The following is a 12818-nucleotide window of genomic DNA, read 5'->3' as shown; positions in this document are numbered from 1 at the left end:
CCTGTCCCTTCTTTTCTCCATGTTATATGCCCAAGAGTGCAACCACAGGGTCACGCGGTAGGTCCATTTTTAGTTTCAAAAGGAAACTACCAAATATTTCCAGAGCGGCTGTACCATTTTACGTTCTCACCAGCAATGTGGTTATTCTTACGTGTGTATTTTTATATGTAACTTTAGTATCAACTTGTCAAGCTCCATAAAAATGTCACTGATATTTTTATTGGAATCAATTAAATGTATAAATTAATCTAGGAAGGACTCACAAACTGATGAAGTTGAGATGTCCCAACTGAGAACAAAGGTATTTTCTATGTAGTCAGTATAATTCTGTGTCTCATAACTGGCTTTAAAAATTAAAAAGATATGAGAATTTTTAATATTCCTGAATGTTCTGAGAATATGATTTCTATAATTAGACATAGTATTCCTTAAGTGGATATAAATGATTGATTCACACATTCATTAATTTGGTGTCCTGTGTTTTCAGTGTCAGAAGGGATGCTATGATACGGAGTCTTGCCTTTCTGTCTCTTAGAATCACCATGTTTGAATTATTGATTTTTACTTATTTGTTTTATCTGAGAGTCTTTACCTTTAAGTGTGGCATTTAACCTATTCACTTTTTAATATTGTTTGTTAATATAGCTTGTTTTAACTTCTGTTTTCTTGTTTTACACTTATTTATTCTTTTACTTTAGCTACTTTTCTGTATAACCTATAGGGTTTTTGATATTTTTCTTCCTTGCAAATGAAAAATTACAATCTGTTTTTATCCTAGAAGTGTTAATCTGTATGTCTTAAAAAGATTTAAACTTAAATTGCTCCTGTTATGAAACTTTTTAAAAAGAAATTAATATACTTATTTTGTACATTTATAGTTAGAAATATCTCTAATTCTTGTTCTTATTATTAGTGTGTATTGACACAATCTTGGATTTTAGAACCAGATTACTATTCAGTTATTTACTTTAAATTATTGTACCTTTTTTCTTTAATCATCTTCTTTTAATTAAATTTCATGCTATACTACAATTGTTTGGATTTATCTCACTTTTAGTGGTTTCTTTCCTTACAGTTACTTCTATTATGCTGTGAATCCGCCATTCTTGAGGTTTTTATTTATTTACCTTTATCTACTTTTGCAGCGTAGGAAGAGTGGTTTATGAGCATCTGCTTCTCTGTGATGCCTGCTCCTTCCCTCCTTCCTTCCCTCCCTTCCTTTCCTTCTTTCCCTGCTTCCCTCCCTCCCTCCCTCCTTCCCTTTCTCTCCTTCTGTTGTGGCTTTTTTCTACCACCTGAAGGATGGCCAACTTGGATGAATATATTTTCCTCTCAAAAGCCTACAGATTGTTCCTTCTTGAACCCTAGTGCCTGGCAAAAAGCATGAGTGTGGTAAAAGCATGAGATCTGTTTGCGGGTCACCTTCCTCCCTGCCTAAAGGCTGGCATTGTTTTCCCTCCACTCTGCCCTTGGTGGGCTCTTTCTGGGTGGAAGCCCCTGCATTCTTACACTGTTCTTGAACGTGGTGTTGTCTTTTGATTTGCAGATGGAAGAGCAATTTTCAATCTGGTAAAGGGCATCAGTTTGCTGGGCTGCCGTAAGGAAATACAACAGCCTTCCTAGCTTAAACAGCAGGAACTATTTCTCATAGTTCTAGAGGCTGGGAGTCCAAGATCAAGGTGCCAGCAGGCCGGTTTCTTCGGAGGCCTCTCTGTGGGTGAAAGCCGTCTCCCCACCATGGCTGCACATGGCGTTTCCCCTGTGTATGTCCGGTCTTCTCATGAAGACACCAGCCAGACTGGGTCAGAGCCCACCCTGTGACCTCATTTTACCTTAATTACCTCTTTAGAAAGGCCCTATCTCCAAACACAGACACATTCAGAGGCACTGGGGGTTATGGCTTCAACATAACAACTAAAATTTGAATTTAGTGTACATTTATAACAAAGTTGGGGGACACAGTTTAGATCCCACGGGAAGTTAAGGTTTTAAAATTATTTTCTTGGTTATTTTCTCTATGTACTTTTGCCTCTTTAAGTTCTATTATGTGGACATTAATTTCAAAGTCCATCTACCTCTCAGCTGTAATTTTAATCTATCTTTTGCTTTCATGGATGGGAGAGATTCTTGTTCTTTATATTTTACTGACGTAGTCGATAGCTGATTCTGTTGTTTTAAATGCAGCAATGCAGGCTTCAAATTCTCAAGGTTTCTTCCTCTTCTTGACTTCCCACTCTATTTTTAGATGACTGAGCTTATCGATCTCACCAGAAAAATGACTTACAAATTTTAAAGTGCTCTGTTTCTTGTGGTAAGTATTTTTGTAGGGGGATATTTGATCTTATGCTACAAAAGAATTATTGCAAGAATCAGAAAAGGACTTTTTCTTTTCATTCTTAGATCAAACATGACCCTATACAATAGTTACTGTAAGAAATAGGAATATACTACAAATGTACTCATTTCACTACCACAAAATTTTTATAAAGAAAGCCAAACCCAGCTTCTATTTGAATATTCACGAGCTGAAATGATGATTGGAAGAGCAAAATTAGTGATGGGAACAGAGTCAGGGCACATCACAGCCACTCCCAGGAGAGACTTCCAAAGCCGAGAGGCTGTGGGTGAGAAGAATCAGGAAATGGCTTCAGTGATGGTGCCTCTTCATGCATTTAAAAGCCCCCAGGGCCGGGCACGGTGGCTCACGCCTGTAATCCCAGCACTTTGGGAGGCCGAGGAGGGTGGATCACCTGAGGTCAGGAGTTCGAGAGCAGCCTGGCCAACATGGTGAAACCCTGTCTCTACTAAAAATATAAAATTAGCCAGGTGTGGTGGTGGGCACCTGTAATCCCAGCATCTTGGGAGGCTGAGGCAGGAGGATCTCTTGAACCCAGGGGGAGGAGGTTGCAGTGAGCCAGGATTGTGCCACTGCACTCTAGCCTGGGCGACAGAGTGAGACTCTGTCTTAAAAAAAAAAAAAAGCCCTTCATGTATCAGCAATAATCTTCAAGGCTTTGCTCTTTTGCTCTTCCTTCTGAGTCTGCAGCAGTCAACACTGAACCAGAAATGCAGGTGGCTCAAGGAAAATGCAGAGGCCCCCTTCCCCTCTGGCCCTGCCTATGGCACAGGCGGCTCAATGAGGCATAGGGCCAGCAAGCAAATCCCCCACCCACCCTGCCCTTCCCAGGAGGAGGAGACAGTTCCAGAAATCTTGTTCTGGAATATCCAGAGTCTAACGATGCTGCTTGGGCGCATCCTACATTGTGAGAATTCTCAGTGTGAGCCAATCGGCCACGGGTATTTTCCAGCATATGAGAGCCGGTGATTGAGCGTAACTTGCACAGGTGCCCAGCTCTAGAGGCAACAGGGGTCTCTGGAATTCAGCAGTGTTGAAATCACTTATTCTCTGGGTTTCACAGAGTGGAAACAGTATCCACACACGAAGCCAACATGTTTATCAGTTAGCTTTCGCATGCGGGCACATAAGACTATATGACTTTTACAAATTAACCAAAGAAATTATGCATTGTGATGTACTCTAAAAAATGTTCTGCAATACTAGATCTTGAGCATTATAATAAATTCTGACAACATCGCTACCTGTTGATTATTTTTTCTGTGGCTGCCCAATGTGGCTGTCATTTCTCAAAGGTGCAAAGACAGATTACTCCCTCAAGGGTCTTAGAGGTGCATTCCTTGGGGTACCCTATGTGGCTGGCTTTCCATGACTAGGATTTCCAGATGAAGGAGACACAGCTGTGTGGGGGGCTGCCCTGACTGGGAGTGGCCTGACAATTTTATTCTGTGTTAGTCACTGCAAGACACAGGCAGTCCCCGTTTTTTTTTTTTTTTGTTTTTTTTTTGGACAGAATCTCACTCTGTCACCTGGGCTGGAGTGCAGTGGTGCGACCTCGGCTCACTGCAACCTCCACCTCCCAGGTTCAAGCAACTCACCTGCCTCAGCCTCCTGACTAGCTGAAATTACAGGCGCGCTACTACACCTGGCTAAGTTTTGTATTTTTAGTAGAGACAGGGTTTCACCATGTTGGACAGGCTGCTCTCGAATTCTTGATCTCAGGTGATTCACCCGCATTGGCCTCCCAAAATGCTGGGATTACAGGTGTGAGCCACCGTGCCCAGCCAGTCCCTTTAAAGGGACAGAACACATCTTCTCAACTGGCCAAACTGAAGATCAGACAGGAGAGGGGACAGGGATAAGGGGGTGGCATCCATCTGCACTTGGAAAAGACAGCCACGTTGGGCAGCCACAGGAAAATAACCCACAGGGAGCAGTGATGTTGTCAGAATTTATCATAATGTTCAAGATTGAGTATTTGTAGAACTTTCTGAGCATGTACCACAATGCATAATTGCCTTGGTTTATTTGTGAAAGTCATATAGTCTGAAGCATCCATATACAACTGAAAGTGCAACTCCAGGAGGGCAGGTGGATTGGTATTCCCAGAAATAAGTCCCTCCACAGGGGAGGGGGTAGATTTGAGGAAGTTATTATTTCAGTGATTCTGACTAAAGAATTTCCTTTATTCTGATTATTTTTTGAGATGGGATCTCACTCTGTCACCCAGGCTGGAGTATGGTGGTGCCATCACGGCTCACTACAGCCCCGACCTCTGTGGAGGGGCATTTGGATTATTTCTGGTATTTGGCTGTTATGAATTAAATGTCGTGGACATCTACATACTACTCTTTGCATGGACAGAGGTTTTTGTTTCTCTTAGGAGTAAAGGTCTGGCTCTTATCATTGGGCAAATGTTTAACTTTAAAAAAAAAGCTGCTGAACTGATTTCCGAAATGACCTGTCCATGGTTCAAGCCATCCATGCATTAGAGTTCCAGGGGCTCCACATCCTCACCTACATGCCTGTGGTCAATCTTCCTCACTCTAGCAGAGTGAATGGGCCCAGCGTCACCTTGCTGTGGTTTAGCTTACACTCCCCTGACGGCTGGTGGAGCTGACCATCCTTCCATACGATGTGTCTGCTCAAATCGTTGTGCAACGTTTAGTGGGTTGTTAGTGTTCTCATTATTGAGTTATAAAAGTAGTTTATATATCCTAGATACAATTTCTTCATCTAGTGTATGTGTTGTAAACATGGTCTTCTAGTCTGTGTCTTGTTTTTCATTTTCTCAGTGGTGTCTTTCAAAGAGCAAAAGTTTTTAAATTTCATAAAGCTTAGTTTATCCATTTTTTTCTTTTATAATTTGAGCTCTTTGCATTCTGTTTAAGAAACCTAAAACTACCTGATTTTCATGAATACTTTTTCTGCAGAGTCCTTGTTGAGTTTTAGGTTTTACATTTAGGTCTGTGACTCATTTTGCATTAAATTTTGCATGTGATGCGAGGTAACAGTTAAAGCTCATCTTTTCATAGGATATCCAGCTGATCAACACCATTTAATGAAAAGGTTATGCGTTTTCCAGCGGGTTTCTTGGGCACTTTAATTGCAATTCAGTTGACCATGTGTGTGGGGCCCTGTTTCTGGATTCCTTTCTGTTCCGTTCATCTATTTCTCTATCTTTCCACCGATACCAAAACAAACTACCTTGATTAATATAGCAGAATTGTTAAGACCTGAAGTAAGGTACAATACATCTTCCAGCTCATTTATTTTCTTTTAAAAGTGCCTTGATTATTCTAGATTGTTGACATTTCCATATACATTTCAGAATCAACTGTCAATTTACATTGCTATTTTATTTGGATTGTATTTTATCTGTACAGGATTGTTACTTTTTTGTTTTTTCATTTTAAGGTTTGGATCCACTTCCTTCTGGACTGTGTGGTTTCTGATGAGAAATGCTTGGTGATTCACATCACTGTTCCCCTCTACATAATTTTACATTTTTCTCTGTTTTAAAACTATTCATAGTTTTATCTTAGAAAATTGGGCTTTCAGGCTAGGTTCAGAAACTTAGGCTTTCAGAATTTTGATTCCAATGCCTCGGGCCATGTTCTCTGCTCTGATCCTGTTTAGTTTTTGGAGACTTTTGAATCTGCAAGCTCATGTTTTCTGCCGGATTTGACACGCTTTCTCGTGTCATTTCCTCCAGCACGATTCCGTGTCCCGATCACTCTTGTCTCCTGGACTCCAGCGGCCAGTCTGGTCTTTCCCGATCACCCCACAGGCCTCTGAGCCCCGTTCACTGTTGTTTCCTTGCTCCTTTTCCATGGGTGGTGCTTATTCATCTGTGCTTGAGGCTCCGGTTCTTCTCTGTGTCCTCTTCATTCTGCTGTTGAGTCTGTTAGGTGCATTATTTCAAGTTTTTATTTTTATGGGTAAATATGGGATTTTTTCCTAAGGAAAAAATATAAATAATATATAAAATACGTGTAATATATATCATATATAAAAGTATATGTAAAATACATGATACGTAAATTTATTATATACAAATATATATAATTTATATTAAAATATATACAAATGCTTGAGGGGATAAATACCCCATTTACTCTGATATGATTATTACACATTGTATGTATGCCTGTATCAAAATCTCTCAAGTAACCCCCTCATATATATAATAAATACATAAATATATCGTATATAGAGAGTAGCTCTCTCTATGTAAAATATATATATGAAAACATATATATAAACATACATATATATTTATGAGGGTACATGAGATATTTGTATACAGGCATACAATGCGTCATAATCACATCAGGATAAATGGGGTCTCCATCCCCTAAAGCATCTATCATTTCTTTGTGTTACATACATTCCAATTATGCTTATTTTAAACTGTTCAATAAATTATTGTTGATTGTAGTCAAATACTATATCTTATTCACTCTATTTTTTTTTGTATCCATTAACCATGCACACTCCCCCTCAACTACGCTTCCCAGCCTCTGGTAACCATCCTTCTACCTCCATCTCCATGAGTTCAATTGTTTTAGTCTTTAGCTCCCAAAAATGAGTGAGAACATGTGAAATTTGTCTTTCTGTGCCTGGCTCATTTCATTAACAGAATGACCTCCCGTTCCATCCATGTTATTGCCAATGACAGAATCCCATTCTTTTCTGATGGCTGAATAGTACTCCATTGTGTACATGTACCACATTGTCTTTATCCATTCATCTGCTGATGGATGCTTAAGTTGATTCTCAGTCTTGGCTACTGTAAATTGTGCTGCAGGGAACATGGAGAGCAGATCTCTCTTCCTTTCTTTTGGGGACCTACTCAGCAATGGGATTGCCAGATCGCACGGTAGCTCTAGTTTTAGTTTTTTGAGCAACTTCCATATGCTCTCCATAATGGTTGTACTAATTTACATTCTCACCAACAGTGTATGAGGGTTCCCTTTTCTCTATATCATCGCCAGCATTTGTTATTACCTGTCTTTCGGATAAAAGTTATTTCAACTGGGGTGAGATGATGTCTCTTTGTAGTTTTGATTTGCATTTCTCTGATGATCAGTAATGTTGAGCACCTTTTCATATGCCTGTTTGCCATCTGTGTGTCTCCTTTTGAGAAATGTCTATGCAGACCTTTAATTGGATTATTAGATTTTGTACCAGATTTGTTTGAGCTCCTAATATATTCCAGTTATGAATTCCTGGTCAGATGAATAGTTTGCACATATTTTCCCCCATTCTGTGGGTTGTCTCTTCACTCTCTTGATTGTCTCCTTTGCTGTGCAGAAGCTGTTTAACAAGATGGGATCCCTTTTGTCCATTTTCGCTTTGGTCGCCTGTGCTTTTGGGGTGTCACTCACGAAATCTTTGCCAGTCCAATGTCCTGGAATGGACTTTATTTTTAGAATAGTTTTAGTTTCATAGCCAATCTGAGCAGAAGACACAGAGGGCTCCCACGCACCCCCCTCCACACAGGCACAGCCTCCCCATCATCGACGGGCTGCGCTGGAGCTGCTTTGGAGTGAGTTTTTATTTCAGGTATTTATTTTTCAGTTTTAAAATCTCTATTGGTTCCCTTTTTGCAGTTTCTAGTTCTCTGCTGAGAATTTCTGTATTTTCCCTCTTTCTGAGTGCATTCCTCTTCCTCGTAGGCAGCACAGTTTGGTCAAGGTAGACACCTGCCGAGTGTGGTGGGTCAGCTGTCAGGTCAGCACTTCTAGTCTTGGTGTTATTTGATTTTTTTTTAAGTAGTTTGAGATTTGAGTTTTAAATCAAAGTTCATTCTATAATCATAGGAAATGTTCACAAAGTTTCAAAGTGAAGACAAAAATACCAGCTGTATAGCCACTGTTCTCTTACACACCTTTTAAATAATGATTCCTATTCTTATTTTGTGGCTCATTCTTCCATTTGTTGTTTTATTAACGTAAACATTTATCAACACGTGGCCTTTTTCTTAGACAAAGAATAGTACATCGTATACACGTTTCCATTTTTGTGGGAACCAAGGGTCGTTTTAATTTTTGCTAAATAAGTGAATAAATTATGGCATAATATTATTGAAAATATTTGACGAAGCAAATAATGTTCTTATTCCCTCATTAGTACTGACTTCAACGGATCAGCAGTTTGTCTTATTAAATTCCCTAACGTAGCTAAGACTGGGGTTATGTCTTAGTAAGGGGATTTCCATTTATCTACTCTGGATTGAACTTTCTGCCATCAAGATTGAAATTTTTGTTTAAAAATGAAAAAGACTGCCTTGTCAGCTATGTCGCATTGTGTGCGTTTGAAGGAGCGACCTCATTCATTTTTGGAGCTGGAGTTTCTTTAGTTCTGTGTTCAACTTTAATATGCCTCCTTCGTTTCCTTTTTCCCCAGATCCCTCTGTTCTGGGAGCCTCCAGTTTAGTGAACAATGCTCAGAAGCAGCAGGCATCCACTCCTAACCGTGAAGGGACTTCAATCAGGAGGCCACGGGCTGTCAGCTCGTCTCCTGCCCTGGCCTGAGGAAATGTGTGTCCTGGTGCAGGCTCTGGTGAGCTTGGTGTTCAGCAGCAGTGAGGCTGCAGGACCCCACAGCACCCTCGCCGGCAGAACAAGAAGGAGAGCTTCGGAGACCTTATTGGTGAACATATGGCAGTCTCTCATTTCCTTACTAAATCAGATGATATTACTGGAACTGGGTCATTATGCACACATTGTAATCTATCGTTAAGCCCAACAAAGTAATATTTAGCTAGCGCTTTAATTGTGCTACTGGGATTTATCTCTGCTTTTCAAAGAAAAAAAAAAAAGTCAAGTGGAAGGGAATGGGGAGAAGAAGCAGGTAATTTTCCATGTTAATAAAAGAGGCTGTCATTTTTGACAAACAAGGTTGCGGCTGAACAACCCGTTATTCTGAGAAGGGTGGAGCCGGGACCTCTTCTGACTGTGGCTGCAGGAATATGTTATTGGAAAGTGGTGACGTCATGTCCTGCCTGCAGCTTCTGTACACGAACGTTAGCAGAGAGGTGTGGTCAGATCAACTCAATGAGGTTGAATCTGTATCTCTTTTTCCACTTAAAGCAAATCCAGAAAGTATATATTTGGCCTACTACTGTTCACTTCTTTGGGCCTTTTCTGTAAACATGCTTTACCCGAATATTATGTCAACTGTCGTTTCTTTTGAGTGGCTTTTGTTTTTTGTACTCAGGAATAAAATGGTTAAAAATCTGTAGAATATAAGAAACATGTTCTGTATCAACAGCATCATCTCCACCTAACCCTGAAGCCCACCTGCCGTGGCGCTTCTTCCCACGGGCAGGGCAGCTGGTGGGCGGCATTCTACAAGGAGGGAGCCTCAGCCCGGAGAACGGTTTGCCTTTCTCTGGTGTCAGCTCGTATCAGGCTGTCATCACCTGCCCTCCAGAGTCATGTATGGAATGGCCACCCTGGGCAGGCCCATGTGGAAGAGCCACACTAGGGATCAGAGTGGCTCTTCTCTTTCAGACACGGCTTTGGGTTATGGGGAGGCAGTACCCCACGGCCGGAGGGGTCACAGGAGATGTGGACGCTGGGCTGCCAGACCTGGGAGACACACCTTTTCTTTCTCACAGCGTGTTAGCAGAAACCATCCAGAGACACTCTGGCTCTGCCTCCAGCAGCTGGTGATAAAAACAAAAACAAAAAACAAACAAAGCAAACAAACAAACAAAAAACCCTGTTTTGTTTTGTTTTCAGTCGGGGTTAATAAAAAAAGCAACTTATTAAATAGCATTTTGACAGACACAGTGGATAATGAATCCTGTTACATAGTTAAAGACCTTTAACAATTAAAAAGATTAAGCCCAGCCCGCATAGAGGATGCCTGAGGAGTGGGAGCTGTGGGGAGCAGGCAGGAGTGCTGAAGCCAGGCGGGGCCACACAGGCAGGCGACAGTGGTGGGCGTGGAGGGGCCTGGGCTGGACACCGTGTGGCCGGCCTTGGAGTCGCGACTCCTGGCTGAACCTGGACCACTGTCCTTCCGTGCGCTGCTGCAGTCCTGCCTGCACTGCCCCACTGAGGGCCAGGGTCTCTAGGGTCCAGCACGGGGTTCAGGCTGTCTCCTGGGACTTCGCTATGACTAAGGCAGGGCTGCAGTCCCAGAGCTGAATTCTGGGACCTTAGTGCAGAGCCTCTGCTCAGAGCCACAGGGAGCAGTGCACGCTGCCTAGTCGGCCTTTACTGCACACATTGAAATCCAGACTTGTTTCCACTCTGCAGACATCATCTCCTGATACGTGTCAGGAAAAGGAAGAACAGGGAACAGCAGTGGAAAAACAGGGAAAAATTTACATTTGCCAGGAGATTTGGGGTGGCAGCCCAGGAGGAATGAAGGCTGATGGTGTTAGTGTGTTCAGTTTAAAATGGAGGTCTGTGCTGGAGACATAGTTACTAAGAACATGAATGAGTTTTAGAAAGAGAATAAACGTCACTGCCTTAATTTAGAGCTTGGATTTTTCCGGGCTGAGGTGTCCCGGAGCTTGTCTGTATGGTCAGATTGGTGACGATGGTCACAAGAGGGCTCTGGAGCGTGGAGCTGTTTGCTGGGAAAGACCTTCTCCCTTTTAGCTGGAAAGTACACACAAGGTTTTGATGGCAAAGATTATGAAATATTTCAGGAATTCTCACAGCTCCAAGGAGAGGCTTTCTTCGTAGCTGATTTCTGTGTGAAAGGTTTGAGGAACATAAACCCAGGAAAATAAAATCAGTGGCTTCTAGGAGCCTATCCAGCTGCAGCTCTGAATACAGACGAGAACGCAGATGCGTGGATGTGGCCCTCTTTGCCTGGCTCCTACCTGGGGAGACGCAGGTGAGATAGATTTCATTAGTCAGTATTCTATATATTCATAAATGATTTATTTTCTTAGGATTAACTCAAAACCTTTGTCCAGAGCAAAGGTGAATGGATTAGTTGTTAAGTCTCAAGTGGTCCAACTACCCGGGGCAGCTCCCACATGGTCCTAAATGAGTCTCAGTAATATTTCCTCGATGCTGAAAAAGTTCATACATCATTACACTGAGGAAGAAACTTAGTTTCCAGTAAGCCACACAGTTTACCACTTACCATCTCTAGGAAACCCTCGGCTCTCCTGGACCCCGTCCAGTTCTTTATTAAGTAGTCTATATTTGAGAGTCTTAGAGATTTCATGTATTGTCGCCCGCCCCACATCAGCTACTAATCTTGAGGATTAGCACGTGCTATTTCATTAACCCTGAGAACAATCCCGAAACGTGGGTATGAGCTACGTTTTGATATTTTGATAATTAGGTCAAGAAAGACGAAACATTTTTTTTCTGTTTACTCTGCTACTTCTAGAAATAAATGTGAAATAAATATCTAATCCTATTTATGTAATATTTCTGATTATTCACCTCATCTATTGTTGAAAATCTGAGCTCCAGTGTTCCTGTCCATTGTCAGAGAATGTAGTCTTCTTTCTTCATTTATTTATAATTTTTTGCATTTTTAAGTCTGTTCAGCAAGATAAATATCTTGAAAGAATTCAGTCCTGTAAATATCTGAGCATGTCCTCCAAGAAAATAGCTTCTCATTTGTTTTGGGATGCAGCCAAACTTTGGTCAATTTTTTGTTTTTTTTGGCATTAAAACCAAAGTTGAAGGCTTAAAAAAAGAAGAACTGAGAAAAACAAGGTGAAACCACCACTAGTCACCATAACTAACTTCTTATACATGAAGAGGAGTGTATTTCCCATCAGGTGACCTGCTCCTTCTAGTTCGCTCTAGATTTAATTAAGAGAAATAGCTCCTGTTTTCTTATCCAGGGAAACCCAGGGACCAACAGGTTGTCCTGTCTGCAAACTCGGCGCAGCACTGTAAGTTAAAACACTTCAGCCGATTTCCAAAACTTCGGAGTCATTACGGTGGGGGATTGCTTGTTGGGACTGGCGACTAAATTGCATTCTGTGCTCCTAGGCTTCTTCTGTGCTTGAACAGTTGTGCTGAAAAACATCCGCATTCACCAAAGTCATCTCCTCAAAGAGGAACTCTCGCAATGACGTGTTAATAGCAGTGTTTTATACAGCACAGCAAATTTAGCCGATCCCTAGAGCCACAACAAATTTTGATATATTCTGCCTCTCTTTCATGGTGCTTATCTGTTTGGTATTTAACTTGCAACTTGTTATCCATTACTCATGCTGTTTGCCAATTTCTCTTCTGTTTTTCATACCACTGTCAAATTAACTTTTTACTGGAATATGCCTGGAAAAGGTAGGTGCAGCTCAAAATAAACTGGTTTGTCATTTGAATTTCTCTTTGCCTGAGTGCTTTATAGAACTTTGGCATTTTATAGATTATAAGTCACTTTAGTGCGCAGGAGGATTTACTGCTATTATCACGAGTCAGTCTATGTCTATCAATCAATCATCTATCTATCATCTATCAATCAC

This window comes from Homo sapiens, chromosome 18 (genome assembly GCF_000001405.40).
Source record: "Homo sapiens chromosome 18, GRCh38.p14 Primary Assembly".
Classification (NCBI taxonomy): Eukaryota; Metazoa; Chordata; class Mammalia; order Primates; family Hominidae; genus Homo; species Homo sapiens.
This window is presented reverse-complemented; position numbering follows the sequence as displayed.